Here is a 22,339-nt window from a genome sequence, read left to right as displayed (position 1 = left end):
GAAGTTTTTTGCTTATGGTTCTGGTGGCTGAAAAGTCCAAGATCAAGACACTGGCAGGTTTTGTATCTGGTGAGTCTTGCTTGCTCTCTGCCTCCAAGCAGCCTTATTGGCTGCATCCTCACATGGCAGAAGGGCTGAACAAGCTCTCTGGAGCGTCTTTTATAAGGACACTCTGCCCCCATGGCCATCAACTTCCATAGGCCCAACCTCTTAATAGCATCAACTTGGGGTTATGTTTCAGCATGTGAACTTTGGGAGGGACACATACATTTGTATCATAGCACTTATATTGTGTCAACAGGAAACTCATTCATTCATTCAAGGATTTCTGGGTTCCCACTATGAGCAAAATGCCAAGGCCAGCTCTTCATTATTTCTCATCCCATCTGATATAGTTTGGATGTGTGGCTCTCCCCAGATCTCATGTTGAAATGTAATCCCTAGTGTTGGAGGTGAGGTCTGGTGGGAGGTGATTGGCTCATGGGGGTGGTTTTCTCATGAATAGTTTAGCACTATGCTCTTGGTGCTGTCCTGGCAATAGTGAGCGGGTTCTTATGGATCTGGTCATTTTCAAGTGTGTGGCATCCCCCGCCCCCGCGACCGCAGCTCCTGCTTTCACCATGCGCTGTGCCTGCGGCCCGTTCACCTTCCACAAAGACTGGAAGTTTTCTTGAGGCCTCCTCAAAGGCAGATGCTGCTATGCTTCCCGTACAGCCTGCAGAACCGTGAGCCAAGTAAAGCTTTTTTCTTTATAAATTATCCAGTTTCAGGTATTTCTTTGTAACAATGCAAGAATGGCCCAATACAACCTCTAATTTAAAAACATTACAAAACTGCACAGTGGATTCCATCACCCCCGTTCTAAAGAGGAGGAGATGGAGGGATGGGAGAGTTGAAAGGATTGCAGGGGGTCAGAGCCTCACCCTGGTGCTCCCGCTCTGGACCAGGGGCCAAAGCACCTTCTGGTGAATGCACATATGAGCAAGGGGTGGATCGTTTCTACACGCTTCTGTGGCAGACAGTGTCTGAGGTGGCCCCACGATCCTGCCTCATGGAAGGCATGGTCTTGTATTCACCCCTTGAGTAACTTCCTTCTAACAGAACGCAGCGACATTGAGGATGTCACACTGTGATTAGACTACAAAAGACTAGAATCTTACCCTTGCTGGCTTTGGTGCAGGAAGCTGCCACTATGGAAGGCTTATGCAGCAAGGAACAAAAGTCGGCCTCCAGCCGAGAGACAGCCGAGAGCTGGGGCCTTGGTCCAGCAGCCAGAGAAACTGGGTCCTGCCAAAGAGCACATGAGTGAGCTTGGATGGGCAGCCCCACCCAGCAAAGCCTTGGATGAGACCACCGCCCTGGCAGACACCTTGACTGCAGCCTCGGGAGACACCCAGAAGCAGAGCATCCAGCTAAGCCACATTCAAGTTCCTGCCTCGTGGAACTGTGAGGCTGCAAATGGGTGTCATCTCAAGCTGCTGTTGGTGGTGATGAAATGGGAAGAGTTTCTTTGATCCCCTCGCAGGGCGTGCGATGGGGGTGTAGCTCGCTTCTTCAGTGCCCCACTGCTCAGACCTCGAGGGGAGCATACAGACAGGCAGGCTGTGGGGCTCCGACCCCACAGCAGTGTCTAGGGGTGAATGTTTACAGTTTTTGAAGCCCCAGTGGGCATGTGTTACAGGGTGCTCTATCGGCAGCTTGTGTTAACCAGCTCAATTAGACCGTCTACCTTGTTGTAAGGCCAAAGGGCTTTCTGTATCTGGGTTCTTGCCTTGGTGTACCAGAAGAATCAGATCACGCCTGGACTTGGAGAATGGGTGCAAGGTTTTATTGAGTGGAAGTAGCTCTCAGTAGATGGGGGAGCCAGACAAGAGATGGTTTTCCCCTGGAGTCGGGCGCTCAGCGGCCCAGGCTCTCTTCTGACTGCCCTAGCCAAACCCTGTGTCATTCTGCCAGGGTGGGTGGCCTGCCGACGTCTGTCAGTGTGCTCTTCTGTCGCTGTGCTCTTCCGCCAGCGTGCTCCCCTTGACGTCCAGCCGCTTGTGTCTTCTTCCGCCGATCCGCTTCTCTCCACATCCAGCCTGTTGTGTGTCTGCCTGTTAGAATGTCAGGGGATTTTACAGGCACAGGACAGGGGCATGGCAGGCCAGGGTGGTCTTGGGAAATGCAACATTTGGGCAGGCAAACAAAAATGCCTGTCCTCACCTAGGTCCGTGGGGGTGGAGCCCTAGCCAGGGACCACGACCTCCTCTACCCAGCACTTCCTTTCCCCACTTGGTATCATTTAAAGGGATCATGCTCTTCCCTTCCCAGCACTCCCTTATGAGTGATTTGTCACTTACTGGTGGAAAGCGAATACCTCTTCCTACTGTAGTGACTGCAAATGCATTGCCTCTTGTTTTGCTCGTTTCCCACTGGAGGGTGCAGTGAACAGATGGGGGCATCCTCCTCTGGCTGGGAGGGGCAGGGCATTGGCCCCTCAGCTGTCCCTGCCTAGAGCACACAGTGCCGTCCGATCCTTTTGCCCCTCTGCTCTACCGTCCCACATCTGGGGCTGGAGGAAGAAGAGCTGACTGCAGGGGAATGCCAATTTCCCAGTGCTAGTCACGCTTCAATTTGAAACCTAAATGAACAAAAATAGACATCCCATCGAACAACATCAAGCCTTTAAAGAGGAAGGCCAGGGGTGGGAACAGGCTTGACTTTAGACTACAGACATTCCAGGAACTTCAGGATGTTCCCACGATACAGACTGCATTTGTTAAAAATACCTTTAATACCAAAAATTACAAAGAGTGCAACTAATCCTGTTTCTTAAAGCCAAGAAAAACACACTCGAGTCAAACACAATGTATGGCTGCAAGAGAGAGATTTCCATTAAAAGGGAAACTTGCAGCTGCCCCACAGGCCAGGCCAGCAGCCCACGCCACAGGCATTGCCGCTGCACCCAGGCAGCCACGGCGGAAAACGGGCTTGGTGGCCCCCCAGCTTGGCGCCTGCAGGGGCTTCTCGGAAGCTCATGCCCTCCACCCACGAACTCAGCCCAAGCAGGCTGTGCTGATTCCTAGCGGGACTCTTGCCTGGGCAGGGGCCATTTGGTTGCCAGAAATACCCAGGACACCGGGAGAGGCCCCTTCATCATCTGTACCCGGAGAGGAAGGCAAATCGCTCATCTAGAGGGGTGCCCAGCACTGGGGGCCGGGCCAAGTGGCTGCAGAGTCACAGGCAAAGGAAGCAGAGAGTCCCAGGTGGCAGAGACAGCCGTGGACCGGGTGACTTTCACCGCAGCCTTTTGCTAAACCCTCCAGAGCCCTGTGAGGGGACGCTGAGCTCATCTCTCAATCCAAAATGGTGAGGCCTGGGGTATTACATGGGTTGTCTAGGCAGCAGTGCCAACCTCATGAGGTGAGCAGATGCTAAGCCCCGGGCAGCCATCCTCTGTGCGCACCCTGGCTGTGCCTGCCACGCCTGGCTCTCTCCCTGTCTTCACTCCAGTGGGGAGGTCTTCATGCTTCCAGGGTCCGGGAGGGCCCTCCCCGGCCCTCCTTCCAAAGCAACTTTAGGAGGAGAACTTTTGCCTGGGCCATTCTCCTGCCGCCAACCCTCAGCTTCAGGCCAGGTCTCCAGCTGGTCTGGAGATAAGGGTGCATCTGCGAGTGACCTGGGGTGACACTTGTGGTGACTGTGCCAGGGAGCCCAGGAGTGGCAGGTTGGTTGGCATTCACAGGACCATCAGGGTCAGCCTGCACGTCCGCATTCCAGAGGCTACCTGCAGGTCCCAGGGCCAGGCCTCCCCAAGTTCAGCCAGCCCAGCTTCTCCCAGGGTGCGAGGGCAGGGTGTGCCTGCTCCCTCTGTGCCTGGGAACACCCCCACCGCCCTCTCCCACCTCACTGAGCCTGAAATCTACTTTTTAAAATGTTTTAATAGACTTTAGCTTTTAGAGGTGTTTTAGGTTCATAGCAAAACTGAGCAGAAGTTACAGAGATGTGCCATATGTTCCGCTCCAACAGGCACAGCCTCCCCCGTCAGCACCCCACAGAGGGGTGCACTTGTTAAGTCCAAGAACCTAGGTAAACACAGCCTATCCCCCAGAGTCCACAGTGCACACTAGGGTTCATTCCGGATGCTGCACTTCGTGAGAATTCGGACAAATGCATAATGACGTGTCCGCCATTATAGAATCATACAGAGCGGTTTCACTGCCCGGAAAGCCCTTCCTGCTCCACATGTTCACCTCCCTTCTACAACCCCTGGGAGCCACTGATGTTTTTATGAGAGCCACTGATTTTTTTTTTTTCTAGACAGAGTCTCGCTCTGTCGCCCAGGCTAGAGCGCAGTGGCATGATCTCGGCTCACTGCAACCTCCACCTCCTGGGTTCAAGCAATTGTCGTGCCTCAGCCTGCAGAGTAGCTGGGATTACAGGCACCCCCCACCACGCCAGGCTAATTTTTGTGTTTTTAGTAGAGAAGATAGGGTTTTACCATGTTGTCCAGGCTGGTCTTGAACTCCTGGGCTCAAGCAATCCACCTGCCTCGGCCTCTCAAAGTGTTGGGATTACAGGAGTGAGCCATTGAACCTGGCGGGGGGTCACTGATCTTTTTACTGTCTCCATGGTTTTGCTGTTTCCAGACTGTCATAGAGTTGGCATTGTACAGTACGTAGCCTTTTCAGACTGGAGTCTTCCAATTAGTAATATGCATTTAAGCTTCCTCCAAGGCTTTTCATGGCTTGATAGCTCATTTCTCTTTAGCACTGAATAATATTCTGTTGTCTGGATGTGCCACAGTTTATTTATCCACCCACCCACTGAAGAACATCTTGGTTGCTATCAAGTTTTGACAAAATTATAAATAAAGCTGCTATAAACATCCATGCGCAGGTTTTTGTGTGGACTTAAGTTTTCCATTCATCTGGGCCAATGCCAAGGAGTGTGATTGCTGGATTGTATAGTAAAAGTATGTTTTGTTTTGTAAAAAACTGCCAAACCGTCTTCCAAAATAGCTGGACCACTTTCTATTCCCACCAGTAATGAATGAGAGAGTTCCTGTTGCTCCATGCACATTTACATTTTAAAGCAATATTATTTTCTAGTATAAAATGTCTTCTTTACAGAACAGTTGAAACCAAAAGGAAAGCATAAAACATAAAATGAAAATTATTAGCGATCCCCTGACCCCTTCATTTACTCAGCAAATAGCTGCCTGTCTACCATGTGGGGCAGGCTGTAGGGGCTGGGCTGCTGCGGCCACCAGCACAGACAGCCCTGTCCCTGAGGGACCTGTCTTCATAGAGAGGAGATCTACTGACCTCAATACACAAATAAGTCATTGCTATATCCCGCGGTGGAGCGTGGGATGGGGACAAGCGCCAGGAGAAAAGAAAGCAGGGGAGGGAGGCGGAGTCCCAGGGGGCAGGAGAGGGGAGGAGGCACAGCAGGGCCCTAGCAGATGCAGGAGCTGGCAGACGCTCTTCACAAAACGAGTGGGTTTTCCGGAACTGCACGGGTACTGACTATTCGGCCTGCTCCTGGTCTGTACTGACTGATCCCTTACAGTGTGGTAAATGCCCACCTCCACCGCATCCACTCTCAGTCCCTACATTGTGACGTAGCACTGGGGCCAGCCATGGCTGGACAAGGTGGACCCCCACGCACCTGAGGGCCAGCCTGCACCCTAATTGGGAACCTCCAAACTTGGGCCTGGAGATATCTAAGAAAATTGACCTGGGGGTGAGGGGAAAGGGGATGGGGGAAGGAGAATAGAGCAGAGAGAGGGAAGGGAGGCTATGTAGCAGAGAGAGATGGAAAGGGAGAGACCACAGGGAGGGGAGGAGGGCTCAGGGCCAGAGCAGCTGTCCAGGCCCCAAGGACTGCAGCTCAGTCCAGACCATACATCCTGAAAGCTGGCCCCGTGCCACTCCCAGCCACATGCTTCCTGCTCTGCTGCAATGTGACCTTAAACCATGGCACAGCAATCTGTGTGATGTAGCCAGTGCCCTGCTGATAGGTGTGCGGCGGTTTACAGTATCTGGCAATGCTAGATGATCAAGCAGTGAGTACCCTCGCTGACAACTCGAGCATTTCTGTGGCTGCAGCAGCTGCTGGATACAGCATGGGCACTTTTTGGCACGATTTCATGTCTGTCTTCATCTTAGTCATCTCTAGTTTTTCTCAATTTCATCATTCTAATTTATAAAGTGGTAAGATCATAATATCCTTTATTTCTGTTCAAAGAGAACAAGATCATTTAGAAGTGAGTTAGTGGGCCAGGCATTGATGGCTCACACCTGTAATCCCAGCACTTTGGGAGGCCGAGGCGGGCGGATCACTTGAGGTCAGGAGTTTGAGACCAGCCTGGCCAACATGGCAAAATTCTGTCTCTGCTAAAAATACAAAAAAAAAAAAAAAAAAAAAATAGCCGGGCATGGTGCTGCATGCCTGTAGTCCCAGCTACTCGGGAAGCTGAAGCAGGAAAATAGCTCGAACCCGGGAGGCAGAGGTTGCAGTGAGCCAAGATCACACCATTGCACTCCAGCCTGGGTGACAGAGCAAGATTTGGTCTCAAAAAAAAAAAAAAAAAAAAAAAAAAAAGTGAGTTAGTGGAGAAAAGGGGAAAACATCTTTGAGGGTGCACTTCCGATCAGCCACTTTTCAATGAGAATTTTGAAAGGCATACACACACATACACACAAACACACGTATATGAGTAGGAGAGAAAATATTAAATGGAACCCCCATATACCCATCAGCTAGATTTAAAATTATCAACATTTTGTTTTATCTGCTTTGTCTCTCCTGTTTTCTTTGTCTAAAGTATTTCCAGCATGGCCCAGACACATTTGATCCCTAAATATTTTGAGATACATGAAAAGATAAGAATTTTAGGCCAGGTGCGGTGGCTCACGCCTGTAATCCCAGTGCTTTGGGAGGCCGAGGCAGGATGATCACCTGAGGTCAGGAGTTCAAGACCAGCCTGGCCAACATGGTGAAGCCCCGTCTCTACTAAAAATACAAAAATTAGCCGGGCATGGTGGCAGGCGCCTGTAATCCCAGCTACTCCGGAGGCCGAGGCAGGAGAATCCCTTGAACCTGGGAGGCAGAGGTTGCAGTGAGCCGAGATCGTGCCATTGCACTCCAGCCTGGGGGACAAGAGCTAGACTTCGTCTCAAAAAAAAAAAAAAGAATTTTAACATATCATCCCATTATACTGTCATCACACCTGACAAAATAAAAAACACGAAACACAGTGTTTTCCATCATCCAGCATCAGCCCACATCAGCGTCTCCCCAGTGGCTCTCCAGGTGACTCTCCCTCGGGCTGCGACATTCTGAAGTCTGTTGCCCCAGCTCACTCAGGGGCCAGAGGCCCCGCTCCCAGTCCGTGAGCAGGGAGTTCGGAAGCAGCGGCAGACACTGCCCCGATGTGGCTTGTCTGCCCTGTGAGGGAGGAAATCTGCCCCTCGACAGGACCGGGGGCAGCAGGCAGGGGTGGAAGGGGAGGACCTTTGCCCCAGCAGGTGGAAAAACATTCCAGCAAATTTACTTATAACTGAAAATATATTTATTTTACTTTGGAAGAAGAGTTTAGGAAGAAATATAAAGTATTTTAACCAAACCATTTTCTGTGTCACTGATCTTTTATTTATAAAGAGGCTGGACACGGTGGCTCATGCCTACAATCCTGGCTCTTTGGGAGGCTGAGGTGGGAGGATCACTTGAGTCCAGGAGCTCAAGACCAGCCTGGAACACGGCAAGACCCCATCTCTATTAAATTTTTTTAAATTAATTGGGTGTGGTGGTGCATGCCTGTAGTCCTAGCTCCTCAGGAGGCTAAGGTGGGAGGATTGCTTTAGCCAAGGAGTTCGAGGCAGCAGTGAGCTATGATTGTGTCACTGCACTCCAGCTTGGGTGACAGAGTGAGACCCTATTTCAAAAACGAAAAAGGAAGGAAAGAAGGGAGGGCGGGAGGGAGGGAAGAAGGAAGGAAGGAAGGAAGGAAGGAAGGAAGGAAGGAAGGAAGGAAGGAAGGGAGGGAGGAAGAAAATGGTCCTTATGGCCCCTGCCTACTCATTAGAATTCTCACACTCTGGATGGTACATCTCAAATGGGGCCCCCTGATGCCTGGAGTTTCCTCATTTCCCCAACTGCACCCCCACAACATACCAGTGATCTGACTGTCTGTATGGAGACTCAGACACTCAGTCCAAGCCTCTCTCCCTTCCTCTCTCCCTGGCTCTCTCCTGGTCTCTCTCTCCCTCTGTCTCTCTCTGCCTACCTCCCCTCTCATCTCTTTTTGGTTTGGATTTCATGTTTTTATTTTATTAGTTTTTTTTTTTTGTTTTTTTGTTTTTTAAGAGATGGAGTCTTCCTCTGTCACCTAAGCTGGAGTGTAGTGGTGTAATAATAGCTCACTACAGCCTCAGATTTTGGGTTCAAGCGATCCTCCTGCCTCAGCCTTACCAAGCAGCCAGGACTACAGGTGCATGCCACCATACCCAGCTAATTTTTTTTTTAATTTTTATTTTGTAGAGATAGGGTCTTGCTCTGTTGATCAGGCTTGTCACAAACTCCTGGGCTCAAGCTATCCTCTCGCCTTGGCCTCCGAAAGTACTGGGATTACAGGCCTGAGCCACCACACCCACCTCATGTGTGTGTGTGTGTGTGTGTGTGTGTGTTTAATGACATGTAATTTACATGCTATGAGATTTACCTTTTTGGCCATGCACGGTGGCTCACGCTGGTAATCCCAGCATTTTGGGAGGCCGAGGCGGGTGGATCATGAGGTCAAGAGATTGAGACCAGCCTGGGCAACATGGTGAAACCCTGTCTCTACTAAAAACACAAAACTTAGCCAGGTGTGGCTGCGGGCGCCTATAATCCCAGCTGCTCGAGAGGCTGAGGCAGCGAATTGCTTGAACCCAGGAGGCAGAGGTTGCAGTGAGCCGAGATCGGGCCACTGCCCTCTAGCCTGGGCGACAGAGTGAGAATCCATCTCAAAAAAAGAAAAAGACTCACCTTTTTAAAGCGTACAATTCAGTCGTTGTTAGCATATTTTAAATGTTATGCCACATCATAAACTATGTAATTCCAGAATATTTTCATCACCTCCCAATAATGTTCCGTACCCATTAGCAGTCACTCGCCGTTCTCCCCTGTCTCCAGCTTCTGGCAACCACTAACCCACTTTCTGTCTCTTGTGGATCTGCCTATTCTAGACATTCATGTAAATGGAATGACAAACTATGTGGCTTTTTGTGCCTGGCTTCTTTCACTTAGCATGATGTTTTTAAGGCTCATACATGTTTTAGCATGCGCCAGTACTGACCACCCAGGGGTTGATCTCAGCTGGGGCCTGACGTTTTCTTAGCGCCTGGTGTCCACCTGAGGCCTGGGTGTCAACTTGGGGCCAGATATCCAACCGAGGCCTGAGTGTTTCCTGGTGCCTGAGGAGTTCCTGGGACCCGGATTTCCACATGGGGCCCGATGTCTGGACTTCTGAGGCCTAGGTGTTTACTTGGGACCTAGAGGTGCACCCGAGACTTGATGTTCATCGGGGGTTTAGGTATCCGTATGGGGTTGGGTGTCCACCCGGGGCCTGATATCCAGTTAGAGTCACGTGTCCACCTGAAACCTCATGTTTACCTGGGGTCAGGGGGTCCATCAGGGGCCTGGTTTTGACCTGGGACCTGGGCATTTGCTGATGTCCACCGAGAGTTTAGTATCCACCTGGGGCCTGATGGAATCCTGGGGACTGGTCGTTAGCTAGGGCCTGGGTGTCCACCCGGGGCATTGATCTTCAGCTGGGGCCTGGAGTTCTCCTAGGGCCCGGTGTCCACCTGAGGCCTGTGTGTCAGCCTGGGACTGGATAGTCACCTGGGGTCTCAGTGTCTACCAGGGCCTGATGACTTCTTGGGGCCTGATTGTCCATATGGGACCTAACAACCTGACATATGGGGCCTGGGTGTTTCCCTGGGGCCTGGGTGTCCAGCTGAGGCCCGATGTTCACCAGGGGCCTAGTATCTACCTGGGTGCCTAGGGTGCACTGGCTTCCTGCTGTCTACCTGGGGCCTGGGTGTTCCCCTGGGGCCTGGGTATCAGCTGGGAGCCTGGTACCACCTGCAGCCTGGTGTCCACCTGGAGCCTCATCAGGCTTCCTGGTCTCTGGTGTCCACCTGGAGCCTCATCAGGCTGCCCGGTCTCTGGTGCCCACCTGGGGACTCATCAGGCTGCCTGGTCTCTGGTGCCCACCTGGGGACTGGGTGTCTACTTGAGACCTGGTGTCCACCTGGGGCACAGTGTTCACCCAGTGGCTACTGTCTACCTAAGGCCTGGTGTCTACCTTGAGACTGGGTGTTCACCTGGGGCCAGATACCCACCTGGGGGCTGATGTCCACTTGGAGCCTGGTGTCCACCCGAGGCCTGGTGTCCATTTGTATCCTGGTGTCCTCTTAGGACCTGGTGTCTGCCTGGGCCTTGGTGCCCTCCTGGAGACCGGATTCTCACCTTGGGCCTGTTGTTCACCTGGGTCCTAGATATCCACGTGGGATCTGGTGTGCACCTGGGGCCTATGTCTACCTTGTGCCTGTTATCCTTCTGGGGCCTGGTGTTTACCTGGGCCCTGGATGTCAATTCTGGTACCTGCCGTCCAGCTGGGGCCCACATAGCCACCTGGGGCCAGGTTGTCACTTGAGGTCTAGTGTCCTCCTTGGAACTGATTTCAGCCTGGGGCCTAGTGTTTATTTGAATTTTCGTATCCTCGCGAGGCCTGGTGTTCTTCTAGGGCCTGGGTGTCCATGTGGAGCCTGATGTTCACCAGGGTCTTATGTATCCATCTGGGGGCCTTGTGTCCACCTGGATCCTGCTGTCCACCTGGGGCCTGCTGGGCCTGGAATTCTCCTTGGCCTGCTGTTCACTGGAGGCCTGGGTGTCAACCTGGGACTCCATGTCCACCTGGGGCCTGAGTGTCCACTGGGGCCTGATGACTTCCTGGGGCCTGGATGTCCACATGGGGTCTAATGCCTAGACATCTGAGGTTTTGGTTTCCACTTGGGGCCTGGATGTTCACCGGGGACCTGGCATTCATCTGGGGCCTGGTGTCCACCTGGAGTCTGGGTGTCAACCTGAGGCCCGGTGTCCACCTGGAGCCTGGTGAACATTGGACATCAAACACCGGCTCAACACTATGTCTTAGGTGTATGCCAGTTCCCAGGTGGACTCCAGTTTCCAAATGGACATCAGGCACCAGGTGGACATCAGGTTCCCAGTTGAAAAATTGGTTCCAGGTAGACACCAGGCTCCAAGTGGACATCAGCCCCCAGGTGGATGCCCACGCCCCACATTGACACCCAGGCCCCAGGAAGACATGAGGCCCCAGGTGGATACTTATGTTCCTGGTGAACATTAGGCCCCAAGTGGACACCCTGGCTCCATGTGGATATATGGCCTCAGGTGGCCATCACGTCCCAGGTGGGTGCACGCTGGACTTGAGGCGTACATCAGGCACCAGGTTCACACCCAGGCCCTAGCTGGACAGAATGTCACAGATGGACTTCAGGCCCAAGGAGGATACCAAGGCTTCGGGCAGATACCCAGGCCTCATGTGAAAATCAGGCCCTAGTTGGATACTTAGTCTTCAAGGGACATAATAATGCCCCAGGCAGACCACAGGCTTTAGATGGATACCACGCTCCAGGTGGACATTAGTCCCCAGGGTGACACCAAGGCTCCAGGTGAACCCCAGACCTCAGGTGGACATCAGGCCCCTGGTGGATACCTACACCGCATGTTGGTAACAGGCCCCAGGAGGACACCAGGCTTCAAGTGACCACCAGGCCCCCAGGTGGCTATGTAGGCCCCAGGTGGCTATCAGGCACCAGGTTGACTCTCAGGGCCCAGGTGAATACCAGGCCACAGATGAACAACAGGCCCAAGGTGGACATCGGCCCCCACCCCATGAACACCAGGTCCCAGGTGGATACCCAGCCTCATGTCCCCCTGCAGACCAGAGTTCACCTAGGGTCTGATTTCTTCATGGGACCTGGGTGTTTTTCTGGGACCTGTAATCTGCCTGGGGTCTGGCGTTTACCTGGGGATGGGTATTTACCTTGGGTCTGATGTCCACCTGGAACTAGATGTTCCCGTGGGGCCAGGGTGTCCACCTGGGGCCTAATGTTCATCAGGGGGCTGGAGTTCACCAGGGGCCTAGGCATCTAGCTGAGGCCTGTTGTCCACCTGGGGCCTCCTGTTCACCTTGACGCTGATATTTACCTGGGGTCTGGATATCCACTTGGAAACTGGCAAGTGGGGCCTGGTGTTCCACTGGGGCCTATATGTCAACCTGGGACCTGACATACACTAAGATGTCTGATGTCCTTCTGGGACCTGGTTTTGGCCTGGGGCCTGTTATGTACCTGTGGCCTGGTGTCCACCTGGGGCCTGCCTATGTGCCAAACTGTGACCTGATTTGTCCATTTGGGGCCTGATGTCTGTGCAGGGACTGGAGGCCCCTTGAGACCTGGTGTCCACCCAGGTCCTGGTGTCAACCTGGTGTCTGATGTCCAGTGTCTATTTGTGGCCTGATGTTTTCCCGTGGCCTCGGTGTCCACTGGGGCCTTATGTCCACCTGTAGGGGGTGTGCCCCCATGCACCTGCCCTCTTTCTGGGAAGAATGGGTGGCGAGTTGCCCTTGTCCCGCGCCTCATCATCTGGGACCTCGCCCTCCTGCACAGGCTGTGAGGAAGGCGCCATCTTGGCTCAGGCAGAGCCTGGGTAAGTTGCCCTACTGCTTTGCCTGTGGCGTGAAGATTTCAGGGAGGTGCTGGACTCGGGGCCCTGGAGCCGTGCCCCGCCAGACTGCCCTCGGGAAAGGACCGGTGACCAAAAGTGAGAGTGCTGTGCTGCCCGCCGCCAGGAGCCTGTGTGAGCACACAGGGCGGCTCCTCGAGGGCACCAGAAGCCCAAGCCCAGGCCGCTCGGGTCATCTGCGGCCACGCACCAGAGCTGAGGGAGGGAGCCGGGCTGAGGCCGCGGGCCCTCCAAGAAAGCCGCAGAGCCAGCCAGTGGCACCCAGGGACTGCAGGAAGCTTCTCCAAGGTAAGCTCCGGAACTGCATTGGTTTGGGTGTCTTTTCCCAGTGGTGAATTTCTGCAAGGTGGGTCGGACATAGTCAGGGTGACCTCAGCAATTTGTAGGCTTTTAAGTCATCTAGGAGAGACCCACACCTGAAAATCTAGACAGGGCTCGATTCGGCCTGCCACTTCATTCGCAGTGCGGGTTCTAATGTTTCTTGGAAAACTGGGCCTGGGTTAGTTATTTCTCCACGTCACCCTTTCTTTCTTGGGTTTCTTGGTATGCACGGTTGCCTTTTTCTCTTTTCTTGTATTGCAATCTCAGGTCCCACATTTCCATTCTTCCCTTCTAATCTGTGTGTCCTCCATGCAAAGCCTGTGGTGGGTCTTGCTCTGGGACTAGTTGAGCAGCATTGCACTCCTGTTGGATGTGGGAATTTCATGGTTGGTTCTTTCAGTGTGTATTTGGCCTTCTATTAAGAGTCCCTTGACTTGAGAATGATTGAGAAGTGTAGTTTTCGCTTTCCCAAATACATATTTTTGGGAGAGATGACTCTATTGCATTTGGCCTGAGAGTATGTGACCTTTCAGTTGTCGAGGGACTGGTGTGTACACCTGGGGGCTCAGTATCCACTTGGAGGTTGGGTGTTTATGTGGAACCTGATGTACCTCTGGACCTGGTTGCCCACATGGGTCCTGGTGTCCACCTGGAGCCTGATGTTCCCCAGGGGCCTGGGTATCCACTTGGGTCCCGAAGTTCATCTAAGACCTAGTGTTCACCTAGGGCCCGATAGTCACCTGCGGACTGGGTATGTACCTGGGGCCTCATGTCCACCTGTGGTGTAGATATCTATGTGGGGGCTCTGTGCCAACCTGGTGCCTGATGTCCACCAATGGATCCAGTAAACCCAACTGGGCCTTGGTGTTTACCTGGAACCTGATGTCCAGCTGGGGCGTAGATTCTCCACCGGGGGACTGGTGTCTGGATTGAGTCTTACAGCTACCTGGGGTGTGGTATCCTCCTGAGGTGTGGCTGTGAACCTGGGGCCTAAAGTCTACTTAGAGTCCAGTGTCTACCTAGAGCCTAGTGTGACCTGGGGCCCTATGTAAACCTGGGGCTTGGTATATTTTAGGTAGCGCCTGGGCCTTTCCTTTTTATGACTAAATAATATTCCACTGTATGGATCTTTTACGTTTTTTTAATCCACTCATCAGTTGATGGCCATCTTTTGACTATTATGTATATATGTTTATAAACATATATGTGGAAACAGGATATTGCTCTGCCACCTGTGTTGGAGTGCAGTGGCACGATCGTAGCTCACTGCAGCCTCCAACTCGTGGGCTCAAGTCAACCTCCTGCCTCTCAAAGCACTGAGATCACAGGTGTTAACCACTGTGTCCCACACGCATTTTTAATTCTTTTAAGTATATGCCCAGGAGTGGAATTGCTGGGTCTTGTGATAACTCAATGTTGAACTTTTCGAGGAACTGCCAAACTGTTTTCCACAGCAGCTGCATCATTTTATATTCTCATCAGCAGTGCATGAGGGTTCCAGTTTTTTCATATCCTTGCCAGTACTTATTATTGTAATATCTTTTTGATTATAGCCATCATCCTAGGGGGTATCTCATTGTGGCTTTGATTTGCATTTCCCGGATGGCTGATGACATTGAGCATCTTTTCATGTGCTTATTGGCCATTTGCATATCTTTGGAGAAATGCCTATTCAAGTCCTTTGTGCATTTTTTTTTTAAAACAGGATCTCACTCCCATCACCCAGGCTGGAGTGTGGATGTCATCACGGCTAACTGCAGCCCCTACTTCCCAGGCTCGGGTGATTCTCTCACCTCAGCCTCCTGAGTAGCTGGGACTACAGGTGTGTGCCATCACACCCAGCTATTTTGTGTGTGTGTGTGTATATATTTTTAGTAGAGATAGGATTTCACAATGCCACCCAGGCTGGTCCTGAACTCCTGGGCTCAAGTGATCCTCCCACCTCAGCCTCGCAAAGTGCTGGGATTACAGACCTGAGCCACCACACTCAGCTCCTTTGTACATTTTTAAATTGTGTTGTCTTTTTATTATTGAGTTGCAAAAGTTATTTTTATATTCTAGTTACAAGTTCCATCAGGGACTTACATATGTATGATTTGCAAAGATTTTCTCCCATTCTTTGTGTTGTCTTTTTCACTTCTTTATAGAGTCCTTTGAAGCATAAAAGTATTTACATTTATTGATTTAATGAATACTTTTATTTTTAAATAATTTATTTAATAATTTATCATTTATCTATTTTTTTGGTTGCTTATGCTTTTGATGTCGTATCTTAGAAACCATTGCCAAATCCAAGGTCGTGAAGATTCATACCTCTATTTTCTTTTAAGACTTTTATAGTTTTAGTTCTTATACTTAGTCTTTGATCAATTCTGAGCTAATTTTTGTATATGGTATGAGGTGGAGCCTAACTTCATTCTTTTGCATGTGGATATATCCAGTTGTCTCAGCACAATTGTTGAAAAGAATACTCTTTCCCCCATTAAGTCTTTTTGGCATCCTTATCAAAACTCAGTTAGCCATAAATATGAGGGTCTATTTCTAGACTCTAAATTCCATTCCATTCATCTATATGTCTTTTTTTTTTTTTTTTTTTTTGAGAGAGTCTCACTCTGTTGCCCAGGCTGGAGTGCAGTGGCGCGATCTCGGCTCACAGCAATCTTCGCCTTCCGGGTTCAAGCAATTCTCCAGCCTCAGCCTCCTGAGTAGCTGGGATTACAGGCATGAGCCACTACACCTGGCTAATTTTTGTATTTTTAGTAGAGATGGGGTTTCTTTCTTTCTTTTTTTTTTTTTTGGACAGAGTTTTGCTCACTGCAACCTCTGCCTCACGGGTTCAAGTGATTCAGCCTCCCAAGTAGCTGAGACTATAGGCGCACACCACCAAGTCTGGCTAATTTTTTTATTTTTAGTAGAGACCAGGTTTCACCATATTGGCCAGGCTGGTCTCAAACTCCTGACCTCAGGTGATCCACCCATCTTGGCCTCCCTAAGTGCTAGGGTTACAGGTGTGAGCCACCACGCCCGGCCTATATGTCTATTTTTATGCCAGTGTCACATCGTCTCCCTCACTATAGCTTTGTAGCAAGTTTTGGGATCAGCAAGTGTGAGTCCTCAACATTGCTCTTATTTTGTTTTTCAAGATTGTTTTTGTTATTCTGGACCCCTTACATTTCCATATGAATTTAAGATCAGCTTGCCCATTTCTGCAAAGAAGTCAGGTGGCACTGAGTTTGTAGATCAATTTGGGGAGTATTGCATTATTACAGTTGATCCTTGAACAACCCAGGTTTGAATGACACAGGTCCACATATGAACACATTTTCTTCTGCCTCTGCCACCCCTGAGGCAGCAAGGCTAACCCCACCCTTCCTTCTCCTCCTTGGATGTGAAGGCAGCAAGGATGAAGATCTTTATGATGATCCACTTTCACTTAATGAATAGGAAGCATATGTTATCTTCCTTGTGATTTTCTTAATAACATTTTCTTTTCTCTAGCTTACTTTACTGTAACATACAGTATACAATACACATAACATACAAAATATGTGTTAATTGATGGTTTATGTTATTGGTAAGGCTTTCAGGAAACAGTAGGCTAGTCATAGTTAAGTTTCTGGGGAGTCAAAAATTATATGCGGATTTTCACCTGTGCCCCGAATTGCCACCATCATTCAAAGGTCTACTGTACATGTTCTTCTTCTTCTTTTTTTTGAGACACGGTCTCACTCTGTTGCCTAGGCTGGAGTGCAGTGGTACAATTTCAGCTCACTGCAACCTCTGCCTCTTGATTTCAAGCGATTTTCTGCCTTAGTCTGCCATGCAGCTGGGACTACAGGCGCCCACCAACATGCCTGGCTAATTTTTGTATTTTTAGTCGAGATGGGGTTTTGCCACGTTGGTCAGGCAGGTCTTGAACTCCTGACCTGACCACTTCAGGATCACCTGAAGTGATCCGCCCACCTTGGCCTCCCAGAATGCTGGGATTGCAGTCAGGAGCCACCATGCCTGGCCAACTGTACATCTTCTAATCCACAAACACAGGATGTCTTCCCATTTACTTGGGTCTTCCTTAATTTCTTTCAACAATGTTTTGTACAAGTCTCTCACTTTTTGGGTTAAATTTATCCCAAGTATTTTATTTTTTTCATGCTATTATAATCGAATTATCTTCTTACTTTTATTTTTACATTGCTTATTGCTACTGTATAGAAATACAATGGATTTCTGTATATTGATCTTGTATCCTGCAACCTTGCTGAACTAGTTTATTAGTAATTGTTTTCTTTTGTTTTGGATTTCTTAGCATTTTCTTTATACAAAATCACATCATTTTCAAATAGAAATAGTTTTGCTTCTTTATAATCTGGGTGGTTTTTCTTATCTAATTGCCCTGTTTAGAACCTCTATTACAATGCCGAATAGAGGTAGTAAGAGTGAACATCTTTGTCTTGTTCTTGATCATAGGGGGAAAGCTTTCAGTCTTCCACCATTATGATGTTAGCTGTGGGGGTTTTTATGGATGCCTTTTATCAGGTTGAGAAATTCCCTTACAGTCCTAGTTTGTTGAGTGTTTATCATGAAAGATTGATGGATTTTTGTTAGATGCTTTCTGCATTTATTAATATGCTCATGTGTTTTTTTGCCCATCTTTTTATTAATGTGATTGACTTGATTGATTGATTGTTGGACCAACTTTGCACTCCTGACATAAATGCTACTGACTCATAGTACAGAATCCTTTGTATATGTTGCTGGGTTTTGTTTGCTAGTATTTTGTTGAAGATTTTTGTATTTAAATTCTTAAAAGATATTGGCTTATAGCTTTCTTTTGTGTGTGCTTTTGTCTGGCATTGTTTTGTGGGTATTCATGGAATGAGTTGGGAAATGTTCTCTTCTTTTTTACTGTTTGGAAGAGTCTGTAAAGTATTGGTGTTAAATACTGTTTAAGCATTTGGTAGAATTCACTAGTGACACCATCTCACCCTAGGCTTTGCTTATGGGAAGTTTTGTTTGTTTTGTTTTGTTTTTTACTAATTCAATCTCTTTACTTGTAGTTCTATTCAGATCTTCTATTTCTTCTTGAGTCAGTTTCAGAAGTTTCTAACTTTCTAGAAATTTGTCTGTTTTATTTAGTTTATCTAACTTGTTGGCATGTGTATTAGTTTTCTATTGCACTGATAAATTTCCACACACTTAGTGGCTTAGAACCAAACAAATTTAATATCATGTAGTTCTTGAGGTCAGATATCCAAAATGGATTTCAAGGAGCTAAATTCAAGGTGTTAGCAAGGCTGCATTCCTTTTGGAGGCTCCAGGATAGACTCTGTCCCTTTGCCTTTTCTGGCTTCTAAAAGTCACCTATATTCCTTGGCTTGTGACCCTTTTCTCTATCTTGAAAGCCAGCAGCATAGCATCTTCAAATCTTTGACTCTAACCCTCTTGCTTCCCTCTTTCGTCTGTAAGAATCCTTGTGGTTATCTTGAGCTCATCCAGATAATCCAAGTTAAGACTCCCATATCAAGATCCTTAACTTAATCATATCTTCAAAATCCCATCTGCCATTTAAGGTAACATCTTCATAGGTTCCAGGGATTAGGACATAGACATCTTAGGGGAACATTATGCCACCTGCCACAGCATACATTTGTTCATAGTATTCCCTTATAATCATTTTTCTGTAATGTTGGTGGTGATGTTTTCTTTTTCATTCCTAATTTTAGTAATTTGAGTCTGACTTTTTTTCTTAGTCAGTATAGCAAAAGGCTGTCAACTTTGTTGATCTTTTTTGAAAAGTCAACTTTTGGTTTTATTGATTATTATTTTCTTTTCTCTTTTAAAATTTATTTCCACTGTAATCTGTATTTTTTACTTCCTTCCACTTGCATTATTTTTGGTTTGCTCTTCCTTTTCTAGTTTCTGAAGGTGAAAGTTTATATTATTAAATTGAATTTTCCTTGTTTACTAATATAGGTGCTTATAGCTTTAAATTTCTCTCTAAGCACTATTTTAGTGCATCCCATAAGTTTTGGTAGGCTGTGTCTTATTCTTCTTTAATCTCAAAGTATTTCCTAATTTCCCTTACGATTTCTTGTTTTACCCATTGGTTACTGTGTTGTTGAATTTCCACATATTTGTGAATTTCCCAAATTTCCTTCCGCTATTGATTTCTAATTTTATTCCATTGTGATTTGAGAAGACAATTTGTATGATTTCAGTCCTTTTAAATTTATTGAGACTCATTTTATGGCCTAATATATGGTCTATCCTGAAGATGTTTCATGTGCAATTGAAAAGAATGTATATTCTGCTAGTGGGTGGAGTGTTCTACAGATGTCTGTTAGTTATAGTTGGCTTATAATATTGTTCAACTCTTCTATTTTCTTTTGTTGTTGTTGTTGTTGTTTGTTTTTTGTTGGTTTTTTTTTGAGATGGAGTCTCACTCTGTTGCCCAGGCTGAAGTGCAGTGGCACAGTCTCAGCTCACTGCAAGCTCCGCCTCCTGGGTTCACGCCATTCTCCTGCCTCAGCCTCCTGAGTAGCTGGGACTACAGGCGCCTGCCACCACGCCTGGCTGATTTTCTTTCGTATTTTTAGTAGAGATGGGGCTTCACCGTGTTAGCCAGGATGGTCTCAATCTCCTGACCTCGTGATCCACCCGCCTCAGCCTCCCAAAGTGCTGGGATTACAGGTGTGAGCCACCACACCTGGCCAACTCTTCTATTTTCTTGTTGAACTTCTGAGAATGACCTCTTGAACTCTATGACTATTATTGTTGAATTCTTTATTTCTCTCTTTAATCTGTCATTTTTTGCTTCATGTATCCTGGGACTTTGTTGCTAAGTGCATATATGTTTATCATTGTTATATCTTCTTGATGAATATACCCTTTATTATTACAAAACTTCCCACTTTGTTTCTAGTAACATTTTTTGTGCTAAAACCTATTTTGTCTAATATTAGTATAGCCACTCCAGCTCCTTTTTGGGTACTGTTTGCATGGTATATCATTTTCCATTCTTTTACTTTCAACATACTTGTGTCTTTAAATCTAAGGTATATTTCTTGGGAGAACATATAACTGGATCTTGTTTTTATATTCATTCTGCCAATTTCTGCCTTTTAATTGGGCTCTTTAAACATTTACACTTAATGTAATTACTCTTGAATAGGATTATCTGCCATTTTGTTATGTGTTTTGTACATGCCTTATGTCTGTTTTGTTCATTTCTCCACTTCTTCTTTTGTGTTAAATGTGTACCATTTAATTATCTTCAAATGACTGAGAAATAGAAATTTCTTATATATATATGAATGTGTGTGTGCGTGTATAGCTGTGTCCTCCACTCATGCCACAGTAGCACAAATTACATCTTTCTACAGTGTGTGCCCATCAACCTAAACTTATAATGATTGCTTATGCAGTTGTCATTTAAATTAGATAGAAAAAAATAGTTACAAATAAAAATACATTTATACTGTTTTTGATATTTACCTATGTGGTTATCCTTCTTGGAGTTCTTTATTTCTTTATTTGGAGTTGAAATATTACCTAATGTCCTTTTATTTCAGGGTGAAAGACACCCGGCCGATACCATTTGTTGTAGGGCTGCTCTGCTAATGAGAAACTCTGTTTTTGTTTATCTGGGAATGTCCTAATTTCTCCTTCATTTTTGCAGGATAGTTTTGGCTGATATAGATTGATGGTTAACAGTGTTTTGTTTTGTTTTGCTTTGCTTTGTTTTGTTTTGTTGTTTTCCTTTAGCACTTTGAATATGTCACTTCCTTCTGGCCTCCATAGTTTCTGGTGAGAAATCAGCTGTCAATCTTATTGAGGCTCTATTGTGTGTGACAAGTGGCTTCTGTCCTGCTGCTCTGAGATGCTCGCTTTGTCTTTGGTTTTTGACAGTTTGATTATGATGCATCTAGGTGTAGATGTCTTTCAGTTTACTCCACTTGGAGTTTCTTGAGCTTCTTGAACTATACATATATGTTTTTTATCAAAAATTTCAGCCATTATTTCTTCAGATATTGTTTTATCCCTTTCTCCTCTCCTTTCCTTCTGGCACTCCTATTATGCATTTATTGGTATGCTTGGTTGTTGTACCACAGGTCTCTGGAACTCTGTTCATTTTTCTTCATCCTGTTCTTTCTGTTTTTCAGACTCAATTATTTTCTTTCTATTCCTTAGATAACCCCAACTGACCTCTTTAAGTGTAATGATTCTTTTTTCTACCCACATAAATCTGCTGTTTTGATTGTTTGTTTGAGACAGAGTTTTGCTTTTGTTGCCCAAGCTGGAGTGCAATGGCGTGATCACGGCTCACTGCCCTCTTGAACTCTCGGGTTCAAGTGATTCTCCTGCTTCAGCCTCCCATGTAGCTGGGATTACAGGCATGCACCACCATGCCTGGCTAATTTTTTTGTATTTTTAGTAGAAACAGGGTTTCACCATGTTAGCCAAGCTGGTCTCAAACTCCTGACCTCAGGTGATCCATCCACCTTGGCCTCCCAAAGTGTTTGGATTACAGGCATGAGCCACCACGCCTGGCCATAAATCTGCTGTTGAGCCTCTCTGGTGAATTTTTTATTTTAGTTATCATACATTTCACTCCAGAATGTCTTTTTGTTTTTTAAATAATTTATGGCTGGGCATGGTGGCTCACACCTATAACCCCAGCACTTTGGGAGACTGAGGTGGGCAGATCACTTGAGGCCAGGAGTTTGAGACCAGTCTGGCCAACATGGTGAAACCCCACCTCTACTAAAAATACAAAAATTAGCTGGACATGGTGGCACATGCCTGTAATCCCAGCTACTCAGGAGGCTGAGGCAGGAGAATCGCTTGAAAACCCGGGAAGCAGAAGTGAGCCAAGATCACACCACTGCACTCCAGCCTGGGCAACAGAGTGAGACTCCATCTCAAAAAAAAAAAAATTATTCTCTTTATTAATATTCTCTATTTGGTAAGACATCATTCTCATATTTTTTGTTAGTTCTTTAGACATAGTTCCTTTTAGTTCTTGAACATATTTAAAAGCAGTTCATTTAAGGTGTTTGTACGGTGAATCCAACAATCTGGGCTTTCTCATGGACAGTGTCTCATAATTTTTGTTGTTAAAAACTGATATTTTAAAATAATATAACATGGCAACTCTGGAAATCAGATTCCTGCACCCCCTCCTCCCCAGGGTTTGTTGCTGTTTGTTTGTTCA

At 47.4% G+C, this 22,339-nt stretch overlaps 1 pseudogene, besides 3 other annotated features; it reads left to right on the top strand.

Annotated features, from left to right (window-relative positions):
• Window positions 821-1,670: an enhancer, noted in NCBI's record as "H3K4me1 hESC enhancer chr22:19655395-19656244 (GRCh37/hg19 assembly coordinates)". NCBI's record gives its function as "activates a minimal SCP1, AML or CMV promoter by ChIP-STARR-seq in primed H9 embryonic stem cells {active_cell/tissue: H9 hESC(primed)}" and the evidence as "EXISTENCE:reporter gene assay evidence [ECO:0000049][PMID:30033119]".
• Window positions 1,671-2,522: an enhancer, noted in NCBI's record as "H3K4me1 hESC enhancer chr22:19654543-19655394 (GRCh37/hg19 assembly coordinates)". NCBI's record gives its function as "activates a minimal SCP1, AML or CMV promoter by ChIP-STARR-seq in naive and primed H9 embryonic stem cells {active_cell/tissue: H9 hESC(naive and primed)}" and the evidence as "EXISTENCE:reporter gene assay evidence [ECO:0000049][PMID:30033119]".
• On the top strand, window positions 9,728-10,284 carry LOC100420103 (uncharacterized; annotated as a pseudogene).
• Window positions 15,902-16,125: a silencer, noted in NCBI's record as "fragment chr22:19640940-19641163 (GRCh37/hg19 assembly coordinates)". NCBI's record gives its function as "represses an EF-1alpha promoter that drives an FKBP-Casp9 reporter gene in an ReSE screen in K562 erythroleukemia cells {active_cell/tissue: K562}" and the evidence as "EXISTENCE:reporter gene assay evidence [ECO:0000049][PMID:32094911]".

This window comes from Homo sapiens, chromosome 22 (genome assembly GCF_000001405.40).
Source record: "Homo sapiens chromosome 22, GRCh38.p14 Primary Assembly".
NCBI lineage: Eukaryota > Metazoa > Chordata > Mammalia > Primates > Hominidae > Homo > Homo sapiens.
Note: the sequence above shows the minus strand (reverse complement) of the source record. Positions and strands in the feature narration are given on the sequence as shown.